Below are 27,043 nucleotides of genomic sequence, written 5' to 3'. Positions count from 1 at the left end.
GAGGGTTGGTTTACAGGCCCTGAAATTGAGGTTCATGATACTATGATACTAACAACATGGAGAGAAATGTTAGGTGATATCAAGGACTAGAAGAGATACAAATATCGGAGAGGAATTAGATTTCAGTTAGATGCCTTGAACACTTCATCCTGTTTGCAGAGAAAGGTTAGCTGGCTGTGTGTGACTGTGTGTATACAGACGATCTCAGTGTCTGTGTAAACACACGTATTTACACACAGAGTATATAGAAATAGACAGTAAAGCAGTGACACCGAGCAGGCTGGTCAATCAATAACCAGCTAAGTTTTGTTCTGCTCCAGCAAAATGACGACTTTGCTCCAGTAAGTGCTAACAAAGGCCCTTTTACCTTCCCTGTGCTGGAGGAGAGCACTATTAGTCACACTTCATTAGGCTTGTTTACAGAAAAGAGCTGGTCTCTAAGCACGTTATTGAAATACTTGTAACTCTGTGGGGCTTTTTTTTTTTTTTCTTCCCTGAAAGATAAGAACTTTGGAATGTGGAATGGGGGAGGGTGGGAAGGCAGCCTCTGAGTGCTGTCAAGAAAACTGGTGGGTCCAGATGGGAATTGGAAAGATGAGTTCATGTTTAACCTGCTCTGTCCATCTGCATCCCCAGAGCCTTGCTGCAGAGTCTCATTTCTGTTGTCACGGTACTGGGGAGCTTTAATTTTGGCTTTTGTAATTTAGACAAATGTCAGGCATTCAGTTAGCTGTTCCTGAAAACATGAAATGAGGTTTTCTTACCCTGAAATAGTCCAGAGATGAGGCTTCAGTGATTTAGAACTGCATTTCTCAGTTGCCTTTACTATTGAGTAGTCAGAGGAAATGTTTGCTTTAAACAATGGATGGGTTAGGAAAGATAAATTTTATATCATTTGAAATTGGTGGTGGGTATAGAAATAATAAAAGAAGTCCCTCAGGTTGGAATTTGCAGCCCTTAAGATTCTAAAAGAAAGATAGGCCACATTTATAGTAAGCCTGGTCACCAGCAATGTGGGATAATTAGTGTAGATGCGCATAACTGAGTTTGCTTCACCTGGGAGGAATGCGGGAGGGCTTGCTGCCAGCTGCATTTCTGAGTGTGGAATTCATAGCATTTTGGCATCTCCTTCCATTCTTCAGCTTATGACCTGGGTGAGTTACAGGAGAGTTTAAAAGATGAGGACGCCGTAGTACATATGCTGAGTGGCTTCTTTATGCCAGTGCTCATGTTAAATACTTTACATAAATCACATCTTATTTAATATCCATATTACTCCCATTTTATAGATGAGGAAACTGAGGCTCAGGTAGGTTTAGGTTAGCTCAAGATGAAGCGGCTACAAAGCTGGTTGTGAACAGGTGAGTCTGCCTCTGTCTCCAGAGACATGCTTTCAGGTGCTTAGGGTGCTCCATTTGATGGCCACTGTTTATTCTTTCTTCCTTCCTACTCCTCAGAAATGACTGCAGAGTTCATCCTTTCAGCTTTCCCTATTGCATTCTGAACCTGAGCCACATGCTGTGGCTTCTCTACCAGAATGTGGGAACTACTTCCCACACTGCCTGCAGGGCATGGCCACCTCCAGGAAGAACAGGGAGGTTCACCAACAACTTAAGCCTCATTCACCCTGCCGCCAAAGGTGAAACTGAGTCTGGTTTCTCTGACATTCATATTCCTTGTTTCCTTTCTAGATTTGCAAAGATGGTGGCTTTTTGGTGACACACAAAATGTACCCCTTTGTGTGCCATATACATGCAGATCTCTCCCATTCTCTCTCTCACACACACACACACACACACAGAGTTAAGAGAGGCAGTTCTTCTGTTTTCGGCTGCTGTTGTAAATTGCTATTTTAAATTTCAGTGAATGGAATAATAGCAGAGTGATCATTTCCAGTAAATGTTGTTGGCCTTTGTAAAGAATAGCTTGTTCAGAGGTTTTATGATTTACAGAGGACACAGCTGGTGGCCAGCAGAGCGGTAGGAATGTATGCTCTCCTGGGCCCGGTATAGCTAGAGATGAAAAGGGCCCAGAGCTGGCACAAAAGCAAATAAGCGCTCTGACTTTAAATAAAGCATCATAATTTATAGGAAGCCTGGCTCTTCAATCCCAGTGAGACACATGGATCAGTAGCAGCTTTTTGATGTGGAGCATAATTGTCAATTGGTTCCCACTGTCTCCTTACAGCTCAAGGACTGGGGATGGTAAGAAATTACTTTAAGATACAGTCCTATAATCTGTAGTTGTATTACACATATTTTGACAAGCAATTCAATGGCATTTAAACCTGGAACTCTGCTAATCACCCATGACCTACTGATCTACAAGAGGTGGTGGGTTTGTGAGGAAAACTAGGTGATGAGAGGAGTTAGGAAGACAATAGCTCCTATTTCCTTTTCCTTGCCTATCCCTCCCCACAAGGCATGAGATTTTTCATTCTTACATTTTATTTCCTTTGCATCTTTCAGTTTCATTCATCTTGGTAATTACTTTGCCTTCCTGCCTGCTCCTCCTTCCTTTGCTCCTGCCACTGGGGAAGAATTGGGCAAGAAACAGACTATGCTGCCAGATACAGAAAATACGGAAGTGGCAGATAGCTGTTAATGACTTCTCAAATTCAGAGCATTTTACACCCTTCTACGCCCTTTTAGTCCTAGAGTACTCGTCTTTTGGTGAGTGGCATGGAGGGGGAGTTTTTGCCTGAAGGATGATTTATTTTTGTCTGGCTTGCTGTTCTCTTTACCTGTTTTTTTCTAGTCGAAGTAATGGCATCGTGGAGAGCTTGGGTATCTGAGTTGTTAACTTAAAAAAAAAAAAATCCTGTAATTAATATTAAGTGCAGGAAAGGACTGGGACCAATGATTTGAATGGCTGCACTCTTTCAGTTGCTTATCTTCAGTGACCTCCTGAGTCTGACAGTGGGAGTAAGTGAAAGCTGTTTCCCTCTCATTTTGACAGACCCTGGCCCTGTGCTATGTGCCCAGGGCCACTTGTAATAGCCGTCTTCTAAAATAACACTCTTAGGAAAGGAATGACCATTAGGAGGTAATACCACAAGATCTGTGTCATTATTATGGCTCATAGTAGGCCTAGTTCAATAATTACAAAATACCTTTCCCAAACTTTTTAACACTTTTATTTAAAAGAAGAAAAATGTGTCCTAACAAGCTAATGATACAAGCTTGTGAGACTGGATTGGGGAGGGGAGTCAATTCTGTTACAGTGGGCATTGAACCTTTGTCTTCCCACAAAGAGAGGGAGGAGGAAGAGAAGGAGAAAGCATTCTGCTACTCTAATGAGGAAATTTGGCTTTAAAAAAGGAGAGGGTTTGAGAAACCTGCCCCACACTAGAAATCGTCATCCAAACTCATCAGATTTCAGACCAACCAGTGGTGCCTGACAAGGAGCAGGAGAAAAATTAAGTTTCAAACTTGGCATTAGAAATCAGAGTGATGCTGTTGCTTAGTTTGGTGGCACTAAGCCTCAAAGGAGGCAGCTACTTACTAGGAAGTTTAATCAAAGACAAGAAATAAAACCCCTTGGTACAAATGTATACAGACACACACTCTATACATGTACATATTCAGTTTATGCATTTGAATTGCTCCAAATGTCTGTCTCAGAAGACTGTATTTTTTTATTTGATTCTATCTTCCTGTCCTCCTTTGTCCCTTGCATCCTGCTGTGTGTTGACTGAGCGCTGAGGGACCACAGCATGAAGGCCATCCCTTTTGGGGTACAGGGGGTGGCTTTTGATGCATCCCAGTTAAATGTCTGACTTGCTGACCTTGCTGAAGCAAGCTCAGGGGACTTGTCTTCTTCCCTCCTCCCCCAACACTATCACCTGAAACCTGTTCTGCCTGCCTGTCCCCAAAGTAGGGACTCCAGGAACCTTAGCAGGAACTACTAGAGGAACGGTCTACACAATAAGGGGTACATATTGTATATGAATGGTGCAGTACATATATTTTATTTTATTTTAAAGCTGGCCTCAAGTCATCAAGGGCAATGTTGCTTTAGGATATGTATGTTTGCCTAACTTAAAAGCAAATATTTTTGTTACTGATCAAAATTCCTGATTAAAAATTACTTTCTAAAGATCTCCATGTGATTTTTTTTTATGATGCTCTTTGTTACTTAAAATGTCTAAATTACACCTAAGACATTTTGTAACTAGGACACTTGCTTGGTAGAACATATGTTTTGATTATTTAAAAGAAGTAAAGCATGTCTTTCCACAGTAAACATTAATTGATCTCTAATGATCTGTTTTTGTTTGTTTGTTTGTTTGTTTTTTTGAGATGGAGTCTCGCTCTGTCGCCCAGGCTGGAGTGCAGTGGTGCGATCTCAGGTCACTATAAGCTCTGCCTCCCGGGTTCACGCCATTCACCTGCCTCCGCCTCCCGAGTAGCTGGGACTACAGGTGCCCACCACCAGGCCCGGCTATTTTTTATTTTTTTATTTTTTTATTTTTTAGTAGAGACTGGGTTTCACTGTGTTGGGCAGGATGGTCTCGATCTCCTGACCTCGTGAGCCACCCGCCTCGGCCTCCCAAAGTGCAGGGATTACAGGCGTGAGCCACTGCACCTGGTCTCTAATGATCTGTTTTGATTTAGTATTTCTTTTCATGTTATATCTTGGGCCCTGTAAGTTTTCACTGATGCTTAAACTTGGTCAGTGAAAATATCGTCACCATCTATATGTGCGGTGCAGCCTCCCACGTGAACATATGGGACAGCATCTTAGTGTTACCGGTGGTGCCTTATAAAAGTCTTATTTCTGCTCCCTCTTCTTACTCACAAGACTCCTTAACAGGCCATTGTATCTTCTAGAAGTGGGAAATGATAATGTTACTAGGGAAGCAAGAAAAAAGCAGCTTGGGCTTCTTTTAGCTGACCAGTCAGCTGGATATTGACCACCTGTCTTCATGGGAAAGAAATAGATGGCAGTGAATAAGCGAGAGTCTAGTTTTCCAAAGAAGCTCAATGATTTTCCCAAATCAATACAGCTCATCAGGCCTCAGAACAAAGGCTGCAGGGGAGGTGACAGTGATGGAAGTGGCTCTGTGTTCTTTTGTGTATTAAACCATAAGGCCCATGGGGAAACAAGGTTTCTTTAGCTGTGTGTGTGTGTGTGTGTGTGTGTGTGTGTGTGTGTGTGTGTGTGTGTGTGTTTAGGGCTTATTCTGTGTATTTAGGGGGAAAATCCTTTCAGATTTTTTTTTTAAAAAAGGATTTCCATAGATTGTATACCAATGACCAAATGTACTTTTGAAAGAGATAAGTACAGTCAAGTAAGAAAGATTATCATGTTTTAAAATGCAGAGTAGAACAGCATTTTTCCATTGCTTTTGTTATTGCTTAAGGTTTCATTTTTTGTTGTCGTTGTATGTGGATTGGGTTTAGATGAACCAAAAACAAGTCTGTGTTCAGATTAACCTCTGGCAAACCAAGAATCGTAACTACCCTCCCATAAACAAACCCTGTTCCTAATGCCCTGAAAATAACACCAAACCCTAATAGGAATGCTCAACTGTCATCTGAGAGGTTATAATTAACGCAGATAGAGTGATGCCAACATATTCCAGCCGCTGACAGAGAAGATCTATCCAAACCAGCAATTTTTAGCCCTTCAGTCCTTTAATCTTTAAGCTCACTGTGCTTTCATAAAGTAGTACATTAACACCAGAGCAGTGTGTCTCTGGGGTTTATGACTGGGGTGGCGGCACACTAGGGCATAAAGTGTTTCATTACACTTCCTTTTGTTAGTACTGCCCTATCTCCCAAGCTCCATTGCCATACACTATTTGTTCAGATAAAGCCCTATGTTCAGGGTGACTAATCGCAGCACTGTGTTCCAGATGGTTTGATTACAGGATGTGTTTAAAGTGACTCTTCAAACATTCAGCCCAGCGGTAGGGCTCTTTAAAAAAAAAACATACTGCATTTTATGGTCATGTGACAACACTTACTTTTCCTGTCCTAGTGCTCTATATATACTTGGCACAGGTAATGGGAAAGTCCCTCTGATTTTTGGCTGGCAGGTATTTTATGAGCAACCTTAGTTGTACATTTTAAATTTTCCCAAATAATTATATTTGAAGAAGGATCTGTCTGAAGGTTATAAGCTCCGAGGCTGGAACAGCGAAGCTTGTGCTATACAAGATTCAGCCTTTACAAAGTACCAGTATTGAATACCACAGAGTGACGACAACATAATAATGGGGGGAGGGAGTCCTGAACAAAGAAATGGTGATAAATCATACCTTGCACAATAGTCACGTTGTGTAAAAATGGAGGGTAATATGATATCTGAAATATATGAATTTTATCCTGTACTCATGAAATCAGCATATTGTGACATTTTGTCACCAATGTTTCACTAGAAAAAAATATATAAAAGGAAAGAAATGTGTAAACTTTCTTTTTTAAAGGCATATGGCATGAATGGGTTACCATTTGGTGTTATTCGAATGAGGTTTCTGTTTTCTGCCTGGATGCACATCAAATGCATCCAGATGTGGTAGTCTGAGAGAGTTCAAAAAAACTTCTGTCTGATTCCAAACTCAGCATTTGCGATGCTTGGCAAAGACTTCTGTCCCGGGGATGAGGCACTTTAAAGACTCTGAAGCAGTCTTTAAACTCAATACAAACAGAATTATGTCAATCCACTGGGAAATCAGGCATTTGCCCCGTTCTTGAGGAAACAGCTTCACAAATACCAGAAATAATAATTCATAAACCACATTTATAACATCTTGGGAGCAAAGCCTCTCCACAGAGAATGTCTATCATCTATAAAACTAGTGGGAGATTATGCTTATTGAAAAAGTATGGTAGTAATAAAAGGAAGTCACTGAGTAGGATTCAGTCTAGACTCTCTCTCTCGTCAGTCCTCGTGTAGTTAGTTCCTAGGTGTTTAATGAATTCTCACTATTAGGTAGCCACTGTGCCGCCAGGGGTTGTGGGTGCAGACACTGCTCCTATTTTCAAGGAGTGTCATCTAGTTGGAAGAGTTAGGCATACTGTGTATACAAGCAGAGTAAAATATTATGGGGGCCATGTATTACGGTAGGACAAATAGCCTTAAGTTCAGACCTGGGAAGTTCTCCTTGTCATTCAGGGTCCCAGATGAAGGAGACTCTGCCACCTTTATCCTGAGGACTTCGAGATCACAATAGCCATTTCCATTGCAGCCAGACAGAAAGGGATGAGAGGTTCTTATGGGCCAGGCCTGGAAGTGGCCCACATTCATCAGTTCTCTCACTTGCTTTCTGTAGGACTCAGTCACATGGCTGCATCGGACTGATAGGGAGGCTGAGAAGGAGTCTAGTTGTGAGCTCAGAAAGGGGAGGGAAACATGGCTCGTACGTTTCCATCAGGGCAAGAACTGTGTATGCAGTGCTGTGGGGATCCAGGAGAGAATGGCTGTCTTTTGGCAGTGTGCCTGGTATGCGTGTGTCTAGGGCAAGGATTCACAGAAGTGAGAACCTTTGCATTTGTCTCCATTTGCTTCTAATTCATTAGGAACTTTAACTTTCCCTAGGGATTTGGACTAAGGCATCTTCAAGGTTTCTTTTAGGGGAATTAAAAATGTGACATGAAGAACGGTTGAAGAAACTTGTCTAGGCTGGAGAGTAAAGAAGACATAGAGGCTGGGTGTGGTGGGTCACACTGTAATCCCAGCATTTTGGGAGGCTGACGGGGGAGGATTGCTTGAGGCCAGGAGTTCAAGACCACCCTGGGCAACATACTGAGAGCCCATCTCATTAAAAAAAAATAGGAAAAAGACAGTGAGCAGGAGGTGGGGAGAATGCCAACATGGTCATTATCCTTGCCTGGATGAAAGGCTGTTGAGTGGATGATGGGTGGACTGCATCTGCAGGGTATCAGGAGGCTCAGCCAGGACCAAGGTATTCAAAGACAAATTTAGTTTAACACAAGGAACAACTTTTTAACAAGATGGCTGGAAAATAGGCAATCCTGGGGGAGTGCTGGTGAAATCTTCTATCAGTGATGAAGCTGGAGAGAAAAAGGACACACACACACGCACACAAAGTCCTGAGGGTGTTGCACCAACAGTGCAGTTGGCTTCCTGGTCTTATAGCTATTGCGCCCTTGGAACTTTGGCCCATCATGGTTCTTTACGCCTCTTACTATCTTGCAAGCTTTAGGCTTCTACTCCTATTGCCAGTTCTTTGGAACTTCCATATTTCTCATTCAGATTCCCAACATAAGTCCCTGTTGGGCTGGCTGCCTTTGCTCCAGGTGCCCATCACTGGTCCAGTCAGATGGGGGCAGGGTTAGGATCACTGGTCTAGGTGGGGGCACCATGAACATGAAATCCAGGGTCTAGCCTGACGTGATAGCATAAGGGGCCTACTGTAAAAATGCAGGTAATAGACAAAACTATACTTCCACTTGTGCATCACAGTGTATGCCTGTGTCTCTTCTGTTCTTTTCATGCACAGACTCTTGAAGTACAGAGTTTGGATGGAGCTCCAAGTAAAACATGGTTGATTCCATAGCACTAAATAGGCACCTAATGTGTACCCTGTAGACACACACAATAAGTGTTTGTTGGGCTTGACATCTTCCTGGAAACCCTTTACAAAGGACATAACAGAACACTGACTGAAATCCTTATGAGGTCTCAGGCTTTTTTGGCTTGAGGAAGTAACAGGCTCAGGTTATATAATAAAGACCTTGTTCTTATTAAATGTTCTGTAGGTAATAGGCCTTTGGGGGCAGCATCTTAGACAAAGTGTTAACAGTACAAAGAAGAAAGCTGTGTGTGGTCAGCACACTCTCAAACCATCCATTGTACTCTTCAGCTGTATTCTTACTTTATTAGTAATAAGCCTCAGATGAAATGTTACAGGGCATTAGCTCTCTGACAAAGGCCAGGCCCAGTCCATGGGTGGAAAGGGAAGAATAATAAACCTGGTAGAATACTTGAATATAAAGATGAAAAGTACCTGTATAGAACGTCCCCAACACCTAGCTCACTGGCTAGATGTTTGAATAAATGTGCGTGAAAAGAAACTAATCTTTCTGGAATAAGTGTACACTTATTTCCAATTCACATGTGAGAAATAGAACTTTATGCCCAGATTTATAAAATACAAATTTGCACTTTTAAAGAACTAATTTTCATCATGGGCATTTATGCCTTCAGTAAGTGTAGTCTGCTTTATGTGACTGTGGGTTATAAAATGTTCAAGATTTTGAGATTTCAGCAAAATGATAAATCATTTACAAGTTTTAGAACCTAAACACCGCCTTTATACTTGGCCCTTCACAATGGGGTGTTGTCTAAACATAGACCTTCTTACAAAGAAACAGTACACTGTGTAGTTTATATGAGAAACATTCCTTAAGCCTTCATTCCAATATAGAGTGGCAGATTTGGCTGTGTAAACATGTGCCTGTATATATTCGGATGTGAATTGTGGGCAGATTTAAACACTCTGTGGCATTGTGAAGCGGCTCGTACATATAAAGAAAGATAGACACAAGCACACATATTTAATTAGCACTGCTTGATGGAGACTGTTCAAAATCTCCTTGGGTGTAAAGCATTTGTTTTGAGCATTTTAAATACGGAGTGCTTCTGGAAAAATAAGGGTTACTTATTTAGGCCCTTTGAGGTTGAAAATGGATTTTTCTTTCCAGGACTTGATTCCTTCCGAGTGCAAATAACAACGGCATCACTTGTACTTCGATAAGAGGTCTGCTTGTGTGGCTTCCAGAAAGAGCAGCAGGAGATGTGAATAATTTTACAGTGAGGAAGTTGCAACTGCAGATTAGCCTTTGTGACAGCTTCAACCTGTGGCCCCAGATAACCAGTGATTAATTGCCTGCCCTGGGTCCCTTCCTTTTTTCAGACTCCAGGTTTCCCTTGAGCCTGTATTGAGACGGTGAATTTCGTTCTGAGGGTTCTGCGTGGGCCGGCGTGTTGTGTGGAGCCGCGTGGCGCGGGGAGCGCAGCACGGTCACGCAGACCGAAGCTTTCACTGCACGGCCGGACTCGTTAGTGCGAATGAGCCTGTGTCCCGCGTGCACCGAGGGAGCCGAGCAGCGCAGGCGGCCCTCTAGCCCCGCACGGCCAGCGCGCCGTGGGGGATGCGTCCCTTTGCCTCCGCCACGCTCACCTCTACCCGACCGCTGCCTCTGTGCTCCGGGCGGCCGCCTCGGCCCAGCCAATCAGACGCGAGTGCTCGCAGCGGGCGCCGGCCAATCCGCGGCCAGCGTTCTCTGGAAACGCGAAACCCTTAGGGGAAAAGCAATAACAAAAGCCTTTCACTGCAGACAAATGTTAAGTGTCTGTGCAGACTTTTCCTGTTTTTAATTTTATTACTGCAAGAATGGAAGGTTTGTTGTTTCTTTCATGTTTCCTTTCAAGCAATTTTAATTATATATTTGTGCTACATCAGGGACTCTGGAACGCAGTGATTCAGCCTATTGGATCTAAAGCTAAAATGCAGTAACCTTCTGGCAGTACAGATATATTCCTGCACTGTAAATATAGCTGACATGCTAAAGAATTTTAAGCAGCTGCAAAGGTCTTTGACACCACACACAGTGCCCCAGAGAGAAGATGATGAGAAAACCAGCTCAGTCTTCCCCTTTGCCTCCTCTCCCACCCCCTCCCCTTTCCTGAAGGGATGTGTTCATAAAGAATCCTTTCCTCCAATTGTTCTGTCTTGTGCAGATTTTGACCAAATGCCTAATTACCATGGATTCTCATCGCAATAGGAAATTTTATACACAATGGTTTTAAAAAAATTTCCTGAGGGAATTTCATTGGAATCAGCTATGATTTGAGGAAATACTTGCTTTGCTCCATCCTAGCCTTTCCCCTGCTAGCCTATTGCTACAGTACACTGAATTAACACAGAGTAAATAATTCAGCTGTTGCCTAAGTAATAGCAACATAGACCATATGGGAAACAATTTTAAAATCTCCTTTTGAGACTTTGGAAAGAAATCGTTCTCCATTACTTGAGTCCCAACCATTGAAATATTTTACCTGCTGTTAAAAGGTTCCCAAGGAAATGAGTCTTACCTTGTCAGGTTTCCCTTACTGTAAAGGAGCCCACTACAGGTTTTCTGTAAAATTCACAATGGCAATGGTAATGCAAGTGAGCAAACTAGCTAGAAACAGATTTTGACTAATGTCTTCTGGTGCTTCCAAGAAAGAGTAGGGGTAGATGCAGAAAAGAAAACAAAGGCTCAGTTAAATATTTTATTTCTTTACCCTAATAATTTATGTATGTCTCAAAATCAAGGTTCTATTAAAATATGCTTTAAAGAAGTGATTTTTGTAATTTGGCATTTGTCCTCTCAGAAATAAAGAGGATATTATATTTTCTCTGTGACATTTGGTATACTAAGCACACTTAAGTTTAGTAATTCACAGATGCAGTGCTAAATTAAATTGTCTGTCTGAAAAGCAGTTGGAAAAAGCAGAATGGCTTGCAGGAAACGAGTGTGTTAGTTTTGAGATTTCTTTTCTAATCCTCTGAGGCAAATGCGTACCAAAGTTGACTCCAAAGATAACCCCAAGAGTAAATCTATTGTGCACATTTGTTTTCTTAAGAGGGCTATTTTAGGAGTCCTTAATATGAAACAAAACCAAACACTGAAACAGATACGGTACCCAGGCTGATTACTGTCTCACAAAGTCAAAGAGGGGAGGATTAGGGAAGTGAAATCGTAGTTGATTGTCTGCTATCTGGACTCTTGAGTCCCCACTCTCCTGTCTATGCCTATTTTTATGCACCTGCATAATTATTTTTTCTTAATAAAAATCACCATCATTTTATATTGTTGAATTGGAAACAAAACCGATTCCTTTCAGTCACCCTCTGGTTTAAGCACTGGTAACTGGCGCTAGTTTATATTGGCTGCTTGCCAAACGAAAGCAATTATGTGTAATAATAGAAAAATTAAGAGGTGAGTGTTGCTGTTTTACAGCAGGACATGGCAAAAACCATTTCCTTCTGTCAGCAGTATCTTGATTACACTCTCACACACAGTCTCACTCCTTTGTACCACATGCGCACGCGCACGAATGCACAACACACATTATTTCCTGTGGGTTTTAACTTGAGGTCACTGAAACCAGAAAGAGGAAGAATGCAAACCACAGCTTTTAAAAGCAAATGAGAATAGAACTTGCTGGCAAAAAAAAGAGAAAAAAATAATAAGTGAACTGGAAATAACAGTAATCAGTGGTAACTATGATCCTTTTTCATCCCCTGCCTCCTGCAGGTGTCCTAGTGGTCAATGTCACGTGGAGGAACAAAACGTACGTGGGAACCCTACTGGACTGCACCAAGCACGACTGGGCCCCTCCCAGGTATGAACAGGGCCTTTTATTTCTCTCCTTCCCCATCCTCTCTTTGCAGGGAAACTGTAGAGAGAGATTCATAATACATAAAAGTGTGCCTGTAATTGAAACCAGGCAAAGGAGAAATGAGCAATTTAGGATTGAACGCAGTAAAATGCAGATGCTAAATTTCTTTTCTATCAGAAGATCTCTGCTCCCCACCCCTTCTCTCCTGTCTTTGTTTTCATTTTTTCTCAAAGTGGGAATTTGAACTGGTTTGGAAGCTAGCTACTTGAGCTGTTTTTCTTTGGTTTTTCTGAGGAAGAATATAAGCCCTTGGTCGCCTGTTCTTTTGCAGGTGTTGGAAATTGTCAGTCTTTTCCTTGACTGGGCCCAGCCCTGAAGCTACTGGAGTGTTGACTCCTCTTTACTGCATTGTGTACTTTGTGATTTCACCTGGCTCTTTTGGGGATGCTCATTTTCACATCTGTTACTTGCTTCCATAGGTTTTGTGAGTCACCGACAAGTGACCTGGAGATGAGAGGGGGCCGGGGCAGAGGGAAGAGAGCGAGGTCTGCTGCTGCTGCCCCGGGCTCCGAGGCCAGCTTCACAGAGTCCAGAGGGCTGCAGAATAAGAACAGAGGGGGGGCCAATGGGAAAGGGAGGCGGGGCAGCCTCAATGCCAGCGGACGAAGGACACCCCCAAATTGTGCTGCTGAGGATATCAAAGCCAGCCCTTCCTCCACCAACAAAAGGAAAAACAAGCCTCCAATGGAGCTGGACCTGAACTCCAGCTCTGAGGACAATAAGCCTGGAAAGCGTGTCCGCACAAATTCCAGAAGCACTCCCACTACCCCTCAAGGGAAACCAGAGACTACTTTTTTGGACCAAGGCTGCTCTTCTCCAGTGTTAATCGACTGTCCCCACCCAAACTGCAACAAAAAGTACAAGCACATTAACGGCCTGAGGTACCACCAGGCTCATGCACACTTAGACCCAGAAAACAAGCTGGAGTTCGAGCCTGACAGTGAGGACAAGATCTCGGACTGTGAGGAAGGATTGAGTAATGTGGCACTTGAATGCAGTGAGCCAAGCACAAGTGTATCTGCTTATGACCAGTTGAAGGCACCGGCATCCCCTGGTGCTGGAAACCCACCTGGGACCCCAAAGGGAAAGAGAGAGCTGATGAGCAATGGCCCAGGTTCCATTATTGGTGCTAAAGCTGGGAAGAATTCTGGCAAAAAGAAGGGCCTTAACAATGAACTGAACAACCTTCCAGTAATCTCCAACATGACGGCTGCGTTAGACAGTTGCTCGGCAGCAGACGGCAGTTTGGCTGCTGAGATGCCTAAACTGGAAGCAGAAGGATTAATTGACAAGAAAAATTTAGGAGATAAAGAAAAGGGCAAAAAAGCTACCAACTGCAAAACGGACAAAAACCTCTCTAAACTGAAAAGTGCCCGGCCCATTGCCCCTGCCCCAGCCCCCACTCCCCCGCAGCTAATCGCTATACCCACTGCAACCTTTACAACGACCACCACTGGGACAATACCCGGACTGCCCTCCCTCACAACAACTGTTGTTCAGGCTACACCAAAGAGTCCTCCGTTAAAACCCATTCAACCAAAGCCCACAATTATGGGAGAGCCCATCACCGTGAACCCAGCTCTGGTGTCACTCAAAGACAAAAAGAAAAAGGAGAAGCGAAAGCTAAAGGACAAAGAAGGGAAAGAGACGGGAAGCCCAAAAATGGATGCCAAGCTGGGGAAACTAGAGGACTCCAAGGGGGCCAGCAAAGATTTACCTGGGCATTTTTTAAAGGATCATCTCAACAAGAATGAAGGGCTGGCAAATGGACTGTCGGAGTCTCAGGAGAGCCGCATGGCCAGTATCAAAGCTGAGGCCGATAAGGTTTACACTTTCACAGACAACGCTCCCAGCCCTTCCATAGGGAGCGCCTCGAGGCTGGAATGCAGCACTTTGGTGAACGGGCAGGCACCAATGGCACCTCTGCATGTGTTGACCCAGAATGGGGCAGAGAGTTCAGCTGCAAAGACAAGCAGCCCGGCCTATTCAGACATATCTGATGCTGCTGACGATGGTGGTTCTGACAGCAGGTCGGAGGGTATGAGATCAAAGGCCAGTTCCCCATCAGATATTATTTCTAGTAAGGACAGTGTTGTAAAAGGGCATTCTTCAACTACAGCACAATCATCTCAACTGAAAGAGTCCCATTCTCCCTATTACCACAGCTATGATCCTTATTATTCTCCAAGTTACATGCACCCTGGGCAGGTCGGTGCCCCTGCAGCTGGAAATAGTGGGAGCACGCAGGGAATGAAGATCAAGAAGGAGTCTGAGGAAGATGCTGAAAAGAAAGACAAGGCAGAGCAGTTAGATTCTAAGAAAGTGGACCACAATTCTGCATCCTTACAGCCTCAGCACCAGTCGGTGATCACACAAAGACATCCTGCCCTGGCTCAGTCACTTTATTATGGCCAGTATGCATATGGGCTCTATATGGACCAGAAGTCTCTGATGGCCACCAGCCCTGCCTATAGACAGCAGTATGAGAAGTACTATGAGGACCAGAGGCTGGCAGAGCAGAAAATGGCCCAGACTGGGAGAGGAGACTGTGAAAGGAAAAGTGAGCTCCCCTTGAAAGAGCTGGGCAAGGAGGAAACTAAACAGAAAAATATGCCATCGGCCACAATCTCAAAAGCTCCCTCTACTCCGGAGCCTAACAAAAACCATTCTAAACTAGGGCCATCAGTGCCTAATAAAACTGAGGAGACAGGTAAATCGCAGCTTCTCTCCAATCACCAGCAGCAGCTTCAGGCCGACAGCTTCAAAGCTAAGCAGATGGAAAACCACCAGCTTATTAAGGAGGCTGTAGAAATGAAGTCTGTCATGGACTCTATGAAGCAGACAGGTGTAGACCCAACCTCGAGATTTAAACAAGTAAGATTGTGGAGCGTGGCCCCAACAGGGAGAGAGCAGTCTGAGACTTGTATTATACATGTCTGGGCTTGATCTGGTTAGACTTCTGACACAGGAAAGAAACCCATATTAGTTTTTTCCTCTGCTCTTGAAAAATATCTTAAGATTCTCAGGAGTTACTATGTAGCTCTAAAATGTACATTATCAGTATTTTCTTGTCATGGTGTATAGTAAAAGGAACTGTGGATGGGTGCTTTGCAGATTTGTGTTTCATGCCACTAACTTGCTCTGTGACTCTGATGAGGTCCATTAATTTCTTTTTTTAAATTTTTTAAATTTTTTGAGACGGAATCTCTCTCTGTCACCCAGGCTGGAGTGCAGTGGTGCAATCTTGGCTCTCTGCAACCTCCGCCTCCGTTCAAGCGATTCTCCTGCGTCAGCCTCCTGAGTAGCTGGGACTACAGGCACGTGCCACCATGCCCGGCTAATTTTTTGTATTTTTAGTAGAGATGGGGTTTCACCGTGTTAGCGAGATGGTCTCGATCTCCTGACCTCATGATCCGCCCACCCTGGCCTCCCAAAGTGCTGGGATTACAGGCGTGAGCCACCGCGCCTGGCCAGGATCCCTTAATTTCTTAGTCCAAGGCGAGGGCTTTCCACAATGGGGCTGCTGAATTCTCTTCTAACTCTGAGATTCTGAGTCTTATCTCTGAAATATTTATTTTCCATTTTCAAATTTCTACTAGCATCTTCTTTGAAGATAATAAAAACTGGGTCCCTGAATTCACATTTCCCATTAATCTTTTTAATAGAATTTGGGGCCCAAATTTCTTTCACATGGGGTCAGAGATGCCTAGATTTCAGTCTTACTCCCTATATTAAGTACCCCAAAACTCAGAGCTCAGTGCTGAATGTTTGTGAGGAGGGTGAGGAGGTTTGGGTGGCAGGCCTCAACAGCTGTCCCAGAGCCCCATGGGTCAGTCAGCTTGAGAACACCTGAAAATTGGTCACCACGAAACCACAAATGTACTAGCACCTTCTGTCATGGTTCAGACATCCTGACCCACTGCAACCCCGTGAGCATTAATCCTGGTTATTTCCCAGCACTGCACATCCCCACTCCCACCCTCACCCCCATGCTTAGATAATCCCTGGTGCATTAGAGCAAGAACCACCAGCCCCCACCACCGCCACCCACACACACACATTTACTTAGGCACAACTTTGCATGTTCTCTGAGAACCTGAATCCCCAGTGGGTTTATATCATGAATGGGATGGGGATCACAAAGGCCATTTAGGATTCTCAGTTTCCCCACTTACAGAGGCATAAATCAGGCTGTCAATTCACAGGGCTGCAGAAGATTTATATAATTTTGGGGGTTTATAGATAGATGGCTTTGTTTTCCAATAGAGAAGCCATAACGTGTGCTATTAATTTGAAATTTTGTTTTGATTAAGATGTTAACACGTAATGAGAAGTGAGCCAATATATTAAGCCTCAGCTGCAGTAGATGAGGAAAATGTATTAGGAAACCAAGAGTTTTTCCTCCTAAGTGATGTTAATAGCTATAGCAATTACTTAAATTTACTATTATTAGCTTGAGTTGGAGTTTTTAACATTCTTTTCACCTGTGTGAGATATTAAAAGGCAAACGAAGACAGAATTAAATATGTCTGAGGATGTTATTTAGTGTTGAGAAATGACATTAAGGGCCCAGCTCTGAATTTCAGCAGACCTGAGTTTGAAGCCCAGCTCCACGACTGGGCAGCAGCATGACCTTGATGTTGCCTGAACTTTAAACACTTTGGTTTTATCTTCTGTACAGGGGATCAGTAATAATGCCTACCTGGGACATTATTACTTTGTAAGAGAAGGAGGTAAAGCAATTAGCACAGTGTCTAGCACAGAAATAAATGTCAACTTAGCATTAAAATTAAGAGTGCTAGTGCTGTCATGATTATTAACAAGTTTTCTTTAAAATTGAAATTTTAAAACAAATCTGTTGGGTTTTTTTTCTTTAAAACAAAAAAATCAGGACCCAGATTCAAGAACATGGCATCATTATGTATACCAGCCCAAATATCTGGATCAGCAAAAGTCAGAAGAACTTGATAGAGAGAAGAAATTAAAAGAGGATAGTCCGAGGAAAACTCCTAATAAAGAGAGTGGTGTGCCCAGCCTTCCTGTATCGTTAACAAGCATTAAAGAGGAGCCCAAAGAGGCCAAGCATCCTGATTCTCAATCAATGGAGGAGAGCAAGCTGAAAAATGATGATCGAAAGACTCCTGTGAACTGGAAGGACTCTCGGGGAACAAGAGTGGCTGTCTCCTCACCCATGAGTCAGCATCAGTCATACATACAGTACTTGCATGCTTATCCTTACCCACAGATGTACGACCCCAGCCATCCTGCATACCGGGCTGTTTCTCCCGTCCTAATGCACAGTTATCCTGGTACGTGTTGTCGGTTCTGACTATATTGGAGGAAAGAGGCGATGTTCAAATATTAGCTGTTAAAAACTCAAGATAAATTAGAAGCTTCAAGAGTGACATTTGTTTTCCTTGTTTTTATGCTGTTTAAAGTCCCAAAGATAAAACTGATTTAATATAAGTTTTTTTAATGAAATGTCAAGAATCCTCAGCCATAGTTTCCATAGTCTCTGATGGTCTGCTATAGCTGTTAGGCTGACAGATACTTTATTGCCTATAAAAATATTCTAAGCACTTACTGTCATAATCATTATAGTTACTATTCCTTTCACTTAAGCGGACACGTAAATGTATGAAATGGCTATAAGCTCAATTCTGTTTATAACCTCCCTTCATCAGGATGAATTAACTGGGAGAAGAAAATTGGAGAAGCTAGACACAGTTTAATGATGATGTAGCCCATTCTTAATGTAACCCCCTATTTTAAGATCTCTTTGACTCTTATCCCAAATTCATGTAACCCAAATGATTTTTTTTAAAGATATAGCCTGTAACTTGATGTGGCATTTGTTGTTTATCTGCAGGGGCATATCTCTCTCCAGGATTTCATTATCCTGTTTATGGGAAGATGTCAGGGAGAGAAGAGACAGAGAAAGTCAATACCAGCCCTAGCGTCAACACGAAAACAACCACTGAATCTAAAGCACTGGATTTGCTCCAGCAGCATGCTAACCAATACCGCAGCAAGTCTCCTGCTGTAAGCCTCCTTTTGTTGTTATTTAAAAGTACTGTGATTTGGGGAGAAAGGGGAACAAGCTAGAGAACAGTCTTGAAATATAAATGGTTTCGGAACCCAGCTGTGATTTCAGGATGCTGTTTTATCCTAATACGTAAAGAATGGAGCGTTCAAAAGTAAGACGCTTTCACACATGAGAGAAAATTGTTAAAGCACGTATGGCAGTAGCAAGCTTTTCTGTTGCAAAATCTAGTATACCTTGCTTACCCAGGAGGATGGTTGTTAGGTGGAAATTTAAATTCATAGGAACCAACTTTTGGTGCAAAATATGTTTGATAAGACATTGAGGAATTAGGTAACAGAGGAGTATATTTTATATAATTTTGGTAAGTAAGTAGTTCAGAGGCTACAAACTGTTGACTTTTTGGGCAAATCAAGCTTTTCAAAAAATGTTTTCTTGCAGGATACCTTTTAAAAATCAGACATTTTACATGCAAGTTCAGATCACCTCTTTCTCTTAAGACAATAGAAAATCTGGGCCGGGAGTGAGCCACTGCCTGTAATCCCAGCACTTTGGGAGGCCGAGGCGGGCAGATCACCTGAGGTCAGGAATTCGAGACCAGCCTGGCCAATATGGTGAAACTCCGTCTCTACTAAAAATACAAAAAGTAGCCTAGTGGTAGTGGGCACCTGTAATCCAAGTTACTCAGAAGGCTGAGGCAGGAGATTTGCTTGAGCCCGAGAGGCAGAGGTTGCAGTGAGCAGAGATTGTGCCACTGCACTCTAGCGTGGGCGACAGAGCAAGGCTCTGTCTCAAAAAAAAAAAAAAAAAAAAAAAAGACAATAGAAAATCTGGTTCAAAATGACATGGCAGTAACTGATGGGAACTAGTAGCCCCATCTAGGCAGATGTGCTGCTCCCCATCAATGTGCATGGATATAAATAGAAGCTCCCTAATCTGCATCACTTATCTTTGTTGTTAACTTGACTTCTGGAGAGATTTGAGGTTTCTGCTACTTGTATTGACCCTTCATATTCACATCATCAGTGTTCATGGTTGGGGGTTCATCACGAGCAAAGCTGAGTGCCCGTGACATGTAATAAGGCACAAATTTGAGCCTTGTACAGTGTGAGGCTCATTTGCAAGAGTAAGTCATGTGGCTTAGGAGTGAGAGCTGTGTCTGCTGTTTTCTGGCCTTGACTCTTTGTCATGTCCCTTTAACTCTGCTGAAGTAATACAATGTCTGTGAAAGATGGCTCTTCCCCAAAAAAGGTGACTGCTCTAGTCCTAGAGACTGTTGTGAAGAGAGACTAAACAAAAATAGGATGGTGCTTGGCTAGGAAAGAGTTTAAAGTAAATTAAAATAATAGTATCTGCAATGTGTGTGAGTCTACCAGAAACTCTATAGAGAAACCAGAAAAGGGGATTTCTGAATCTTTTTCTGAGTCCTCCTTCTTAGTACAAGGATTTCTTTTAAGTGAGAAGTATAACTTTAGTTAAAGGGTGGTTAGGCTGTAAAGGTAGAAAGTCATAGGAAATGAACCATCCTTACCCCAAACTATGGTTTGGGAGGATGGGGCCTTCTCTTTGAGAGTTCAAAAATTGAGAGATTCAAAATGTGGGTGTAGGACAGTGATTTCTTGTGCTTTATATTGGCATATAACTTTAGAGCATGTTTTTTCAGTAGAACAAAATGTATACAGACACGTTTAAAACTGTGAGATATGTTCTCTCCACAAAATACAAGTGTAATTAGAAAACTTGACCTTAAAGATATCTCCAAAACTACTTATTTTGTAAAAGTTGTTTATGGGAAGCAATTGGGTAAATTCTTAACCTGCAATTATGAATGAATATAGAGAGAAATCCTCTTATTTCCGTCATTTCAGGAAAACATTGGTGTCACTTGGTTTACTTTGGGTGGAGTAGTTCTTTTGTGTTGGCTTAATTCCAACTGAAACTAATGCATGTTTTTTGAAATTCTCTTTAGTTACTAAAGAATTGTATCTTTATATTTACTTTTTAATCATTAACACAATATTGTCGAAGGGACAAAGGTGGTTTAGTACTCTTAAAAGTTGATTTTCAGAGCATGAAGGGGGAAAATTTCTCTTTTCTGTTGCAGCCTGTGGAAAAGGCTACAGCTGAGCGGGAACGGGAGGCAGAAAGGGAAAGGGATCGCCACTCCCCCTTCGGCCAGCGGCACCTGCACACGCACCACCACACCCACGTTGGCATGGGTTACCCGCTAATCCCGGGTCAATATGACCCTTTTCAAGGTCAGCAGCTCTATCATTACTGTGTCTTTGTCCATTCTGCTTTGGAAAACAGTTGCTAAAATTGCATTTCACATCTTAAAAATATTGAGCTTTGAGTTCACATTAGCTCTCAGGAGGGTTTTTAACACTTATTTTCTAGTGACACAGCTAAGGCTATTCCCACATCTTTGTATTCTATTGAGACATGAAATGGCTACCACTTAATAATTGTCACCAGTTGATGTTATCGGCAGCTTACTGTTATCTCACAGACTGAGGGCGGTGGCCAGTGTCTGGGGCACTGAATATAACAATCAGAAGATCAGATATCTACTTCAGGAAAATTGTAGAAAAAGGGAGGGATGGTGGGAAGCTTTGGTGAAATTACTTGTTCTGATTTCTGCATGCCTTTTAAGTTGCTCTTTTCCCATGGAAATCATGGGAGTAATGTGATCAGGTTTAACACTTTTATAACCTCATTCGAGGGTTCTTCACAGCCCTTCACTGCTGCGACTTCACTAAATGGGAGAATTGAGAAAGAGAAACATGTTTTAAGCCATAGGATTGATATGAGGGAATCTTCACCTTGTAGTTCATTAGTTGAGCATGTATTATTTGTCCCATCTTTGTCATCTCATAGTAGGTGGGTGGTGGCACCATCTTTACAACTTGCTAGAATACCACAGATTGCATGGCTTTAAACAACAGGAATTTATTTTCTCACAGTTCTGGAGGCTGGAAGTTCAAGATCAGGGTGCCAGTACAGCCAGCGTCTGCTCAGGCCTCTCTTCCTGGCTTGTGTGCAGCTGCTGTCTTGCTGTGCGCTCATATGACCTCTTCTTTGTGCATGAGCTGGTGGGTGGGGAAGGGGCAGGGGGGAGCCCTCGTGTGCTTTCTTATAAGGACACTAATCATGCCCTATTAGGGTCCCACCCATATGACCTGATTTAACCTTAATTACCTCCTTATAAGCCCCATCTCCAAATCTAATCACATTGTGGATTAGAGCTTCAACATATTTTGAGGAGACATAATTTAGTCTATTGCACTTGCCAAGTTGCCTCTTATGCTACTGTGTGAATAGAAAGTAAGATAATATGTTTGAAGGTGTTTCCAAAACTGGGAAGTGATATACAAATGTGAAGGGGTCATTTTTATTTATTCAGGTCTTTTTAGTTGATGTCATCTAGTAGTGTTAAAAGAGAGCTTTCCTATTTCTTAAACAATTTGTATTGAGTGTAATAAGAACTTGGAAGAGAAAGAGGTTTTATTTCTAGTCTAACACATTATATCTATATATAAATAAAGTATATATGAGAAGAAAACAATTGTCTCTTTTAAGATAATATTATTGTTATTGTACTGTCTTAAGTTACCTCTGGGAAAAGAAAATATATCCAAATAAAAGACCTAGAAGGAGACAGTAATCTTCCCTAGGTTTGCATTTGTTTACTCTATTTTTCCCCAGGACTGTCTTCTATAGAATTTAAAAGAATTCTCTGTTAGGCAACATCATGCCATTTGGAGCTATTACAGTCTCTGACTGCTACCTTTGTCTTGCAGGGTGAAAGTTAAGAGCATTTCTAAGTTTGATTTACTGATTCTGTGTATCTTATGGGATGCATTGTGTTCAGTCACTGGGGAAAATGTTAAAGTGATAACAATTATTATGAAAGTATTGTATTCTAGGCAAATAGCATGCCGCTTCTGTAATTCACTGTGACTTTTGATTCCTGTTGTTACCTGGTATCTGTTATTTCTCCTGAGCTTCCTATTCAGGGAATGCATGCAAACCATTTAGCACCATGCAGAGCCGGAGAGATGGAATGCTGTATCTCCTTCGAATAGCTATTAAGAAAACTGCAGAGTATTCAAGAAAGGATAGATAGCAGATAGACCAAATGGTTTGTACTGTGTCCTTGCTGCATGAAACAGTTCATGTGTGTGTTTAGGAGAGGACACCATGCTGCTACTAGGTCTGCGGCCCTTCTCCACTGGGCCTGTATCTACTCTTATCCTTCTAAAGATCACAGACACTCTACATTTTTTCCCCATTAGGCTTGACCTCTGCTGCCCTTGTTGCCTCTCAGCAGGTGGCTGCCCAGGCATCTGCATCTGGAATGTTTCCTGGACAAAGAAGGTAAATATCCTCTACATTTTTAATTAGTTGTAGATAGAAATATCTTAATGGTTGGGAGGAAGCAAGTACAGGATTTTTAGACCAAAAACTTAACTCCTTGGGTTTTATATCATTGTAATGAATGTGTTTATTATGCCAATATAAGTTGCTTCACATGCAACTTAAATTCCATGAACCTCATTCTGTAAGGGTTACATAGATTAGTAATTAACTGATTAGTTTTTTAGACAGTTGAAATTTTCTTGGGTTATCCTTACGGCATTTCTAAAATAATTCACCATGACTCCCTTTGTTTTATTATGTTTAAAGATAAAGTCGCAAATGGAGACATTTATTTTCATAATGCTAAAGGTAATGTTTGTTCTTTGATATTTTAAATTATTCCCTAAGTTTTATGAAGGAAAATGATTTAAAGGAATTAAATTATTAATATTATAAAATTAATATTTTTCACAATGTATATCATTACTTTATGTTTATTCACTTTCTCTGGAATTGAATTCCACATTTGAATGGAATTAAAATAAGACTATCGGTCTTATGGTTTTCTGGTTTACAGTGCCAAATGTTGATAGAGGCTGGGCATGATGGCCCATGCCTGTAGTCCCACCACTTTGGGAGGCTCATGCAGGTGGATCACCTGAGGTCGGGAGTTCCAGACTAGCCTGGCCAACATGGTGAAACCCCATCTCTAATAAAAATACAAAAATTAGCTGGGCGTGGTGGTGTGCGTCTGTAATTCCAGCTACTAGGGAGGCTGAGGCATGAGAATTGCTGGAACCCAGGAGGTGGAGGTTGCAGTAAGCTGAGATTGCACCATTGCATTCCAGCCTAGGTGATGGAGTGAGACTCTGTCTCAAAACTAAAAAAAAAAAAAACTGTTGGCCGGGTGTGGTGGCTTATGCCTGTAATCCCAGCACTTTGGGAGGCCGAGGTGGGCAGATCACCTGAGGTCAGGAGCTTGAGACCAGTCTGACCAACATGGAGAAACCCCCTCTCTACTAAAAACATAAAATTAGCCAGGCATGGTGGCACATGCCTATAATCCCAGCTACTCGGGAGGCTGAGGCAGGAGAATCACTTGAACCCAGGAGGCAGAGGTTGCGGTGAGCCGAGATTGAGCCATGGCACTCTAGCCTGGGCAACAAGAGCAAAACTCCGACTCAAAAAACAAACAAACAAAATGTTGATAGAACCGTGTGCTAAGGTTTGCTTTTCTTTTGCAGAGAATAACAAGATTGGACATGTACATTGTCATGTGACTGGATCACATGGGGAAGCGCTTTATACAGACATCAGTTCCATGGTGTTAATTTGAAATGCCTTAATGGCAGGCAAAAACCAGTCATTTCATTTTTGTAAATTACAGATTTTATCACAGAGTAACAAATGTTGCTGTAATTAAACTTCTGTTTTATATATATATACGTATACATATCTGTATATATACATATATATATATATAAATATAAATATATTCTTTACTTTTTGTATCAGTAACCAGGCTCGCACACACAGGGTCTGCTGCCACGTCGCAAACCACTCAGTAAAGGAAATTAAAAATGTATTTGTCATGTTAAAAAGTGTTAGCCACAAAAGGCTACTTACTTTCTTTTCCTTTTCCTTTAAAATTGTAAATAAATAATGTTATGTATCAGTGTGCCTGAACCTTGCATATCCTTCACATATTTCCCATAAGCCCCTCAGAAAGGCTAACTGTGATGATGACACTTTGGTACAATTTAGATGTCTATTTGGTGGCTCCTGTTAAAGACGCACCAGTGTAAAATGTTCCTGTAGTCACTGTTTGTACTTGTGTATTGTGGAAAAAGTACTTTTGGAAGGCATGGGGTTGCCAGTACCACAAAAACTGTGTTGTATATAATGTAAAGATTAAAATGGGGAAATAATGAGCATCTGTGAATAATGAGGTGTCATTTTTTGATAATCTTGAATGGCAAATAACCCAATAGCCTGCGTACCAGAGACATCTGTGATTGTTCTATTACTTGAATAGTTCTACAGTCTTTTTTTTTTTTTAATGTTTACAATTATCCAGTTTTAGAAGAGAGAGACTTTAACGCCATTGCCTGGTTACTTGTTTTATGCTGTAATCTAGTTTATTTTATGTAAAATGTATATTGAATGCTTTCCTTTTTTATACCTGCCTTAAATAATTTGGCAATCAGAATTAAAAAGTTTTTTTTTTTTTAAATAATGGCTTCTTGTCTGTCTCATGTTATTTTCTACCTGGCTGATAGTCATTCTAATTTTCAAAGAAGGGTTTCTTAATATTATTAATATCCAATGCATAAGATACAGTAAACAGATATTAACTTTTCTTATAGGATACATAGGTATAACAACCAAATAGTGTGTTTAATTCGGTGAATGTATTCCCATTTACAGGGTATTTACCCTAAACATGGAGCACGATATCACTAGAAATTAGTAGATACAGGTTTCTATGGTATGGAATGATACTTCAAAGATGCAAATGTTATGACATGTGGATAACAGGAAAAATATGTAAAAAGTCATTTAGTCAGTTAGCTGTCATTACATTGATTTACTAGAATATTTTATGCCAAATTTTAACTGCCTCTTCTCTCCCTTCTTTGCTTGGAACAAACACTTACTGAGTGCCTGCTTTATCCCAAGCACTGCACTGGGTTCTGGCATATTGCAGTAAACAAAGCAGACACAAATTCCTGTCTTCATGGAGCTTTCATTTTTTGGTGGGTGGGATAAACATATCATAAAATATCTGAATAATATATAGAGCATGTTAGATGGTTGATAAATGCAATGAAGAGAAATGAAGCATGGGAGTGGGGCATAGTGAATATGTGCTGGAGTTTGTAACTGTAAACAGAGTGGCCACTAAAGAGATGGGGGGGATCCATGCAGACATCTGGGGGAACACCACTGCAGTGACATGGAAGAGCAAGTACCGAAGCCCCAAGGTGGGAGTGTGCTTTGTATGTTTGGACTGGTTGATTTCAGTGCTCCATTCCAGCTGTAAGTTTTTATTATTTTACTATAATTGCTAATGACAGTGCTACCACGTGGTTTACTAAAAAGTTCTTTAAGCTGACGGAATTTGTCTTGGTATAATTTGGTTAGTTCTACCTAGAGGCCTTTGCATCAGAAATGAATAGAATTTTGCAATCAAAAAGAAATGTTTCCCTTGATTTTGAAAGACCACCTTAGAGTATTGCCTTTGCTGCTTGGCTTACACATCTAGTCTATGTTCTTAATAGATTTCAGTAAGAAGATATTTTTCTGTTAGTTTTCAGTTTTTCTTTTGAATTTCATCCAAGCTGTTATTTATAAAAATATCGTTTGTGGTGTTTAATCCTATACATAAGAGTATTTCACATATTTTTCATCATTTTTAAGCTATCAACGCTTTTTCGTTTTTATACGACATCTTGATTATCCTTGAAGACTTGAGGTAATTTGTCTTATACCAGTTAAGCAAGTATGTTTTCTCTGTTCAGACTATAGTTGGCAGGGTATCTGTTGGTTGCCTACATGCTGATCCAGTTCTTAACCAACCCCTTAACTGTCAAAGCACAGAAGCAGAACTAAGGTCAACTTACATCTTCACTAGCTGAATTTTCATGTTCTTGTTGGTAGCTGGGTGATACTGTGGATTCCTGATGATTTTCTTGCTCTTAATAATATATATGGAAGCCAATCTTACCTTTCAGCTGCAAAATGACTAGATGTATGTTTATTACATAGCAGGCTTTTTAAAATCACTTCTAATTAGGTGGTTAAGTAAACAGGTTATAAATAGCTGCATTGGACCATGTTTAACTCTGCTCCTGTAATAAACAGGAATGCTGATAAATACAAAGAGATATATGACCAAAAGCACATTGCAATTTGAATAGGCTCTTCCCCTAGGCTTTTACTGGAACATTATTCGTGACTGGTTTACATTAATCACTAAATGAAGTTTTGTTTCTTCCTCTTACTGTTACAGTGTTGTCTTTGCTGATGACAACATGAATTGCCAAAGGCCAGGGCTTATTTATATTACGTGTGCCATTTCTCTGGCTGAGTATATAGTCAGTACCGAGTGGTAAATTAAAGATTCCCAAAAGACAAGTGTACTTGGCTCCATTATATTACTATGATGAATCTGCCATTAATACATTCTAATTGTTTTACTTTTATAGACATAAAATCAGT

General features: G+C 41.4%; 1 protein-coding gene across 10 annotated transcripts in view, besides 3 other annotated features; it reads left to right on the top strand.

Moving 5' to 3' along the window:
* The window catches only part of ZNF608 (zinc finger protein 608), a 111,910-nt gene extending 86,852 nt beyond the window's left edge, over positions 1 to 25,058 (top strand). For 5 of the 10 annotated variants that reach the window (NM_001385621.1, NM_001385619.1, NM_020747.3 and 2 more), the window contains 7 exons: positions 12,276 to 12,363; positions 12,840 to 15,294; positions 17,312 to 17,729; positions 18,290 to 18,462; positions 20,568 to 20,721; positions 22,759 to 22,840; positions 24,067 to 25,058. In NM_001385621.1, the coding sequence (NP_001372550.1) occupies positions 12,276 to 12,363; positions 12,840 to 15,294; positions 17,312 to 17,729; positions 18,290 to 18,462; positions 20,568 to 20,721; positions 22,759 to 22,840; positions 24,067 to 24,073 (3,377 nt within the window). In that variant the 3' untranslated portion in view covers positions 24,074 to 25,058. Of the gene's footprint in view, positions 1 to 9,674; positions 10,374 to 12,275; positions 12,364 to 12,839; positions 15,295 to 17,311; positions 17,730 to 18,289; positions 18,463 to 20,567; positions 20,722 to 22,758; positions 22,846 to 23,149; positions 23,192 to 24,066 lie in introns of those variants that run through there. The other 5 variants (XM_047417447.1, XM_047417446.1, NM_001385620.1 and 2 more) reach the window with 4 other exon arrangements.
* Positions 977 to 1,670: an enhancer, noted in NCBI's record as "OCT4-NANOG-H3K27ac hESC enhancer chr5:123995996-123996689 (GRCh37/hg19 assembly coordinates)". NCBI's record gives its function as "activates a minimal SCP1, AML or CMV promoter by ChIP-STARR-seq in naive H9 embryonic stem cells {active_cell/tissue: H9 hESC(naive)}" and the evidence as "EXISTENCE:reporter gene assay evidence [ECO:0000049][PMID:30033119]".
* Positions 9,890 to 9,939: an enhancer, noted in NCBI's record as "active region_23012". NCBI's record gives its function as "activates an Ori minimal core promoter by ATAC-STARR-seq in GM12878 lymphoblastoid cells {active_cell/tissue: GM12878}" and the evidence as "EXISTENCE:reporter gene assay evidence [ECO:0000049][PMID:35858748]".
* Positions 12,952 to 13,460: an enhancer, noted in NCBI's record as "H3K27ac-H3K4me1 hESC enhancer chr5:123984206-123984714 (GRCh37/hg19 assembly coordinates)". NCBI's record gives its function as "activates a minimal SCP1, AML or CMV promoter by ChIP-STARR-seq in naive H9 embryonic stem cells {active_cell/tissue: H9 hESC(naive)}" and the evidence as "EXISTENCE:reporter gene assay evidence [ECO:0000049][PMID:30033119]".
* Positions 25,059 to 27,043: the final 1,985 nt, after the last annotated feature.

The sequence above is a fragment of the Homo sapiens genome, chromosome 5, assembly GCF_000001405.40.
Source record: "Homo sapiens chromosome 5, GRCh38.p14 Primary Assembly".
NCBI lineage: Eukaryota > Metazoa > Chordata > Mammalia > Primates > Hominidae > Homo > Homo sapiens.
Note: the sequence above shows the minus strand (reverse complement) of the source record. Positions and strands in the feature narration are given on the sequence as shown.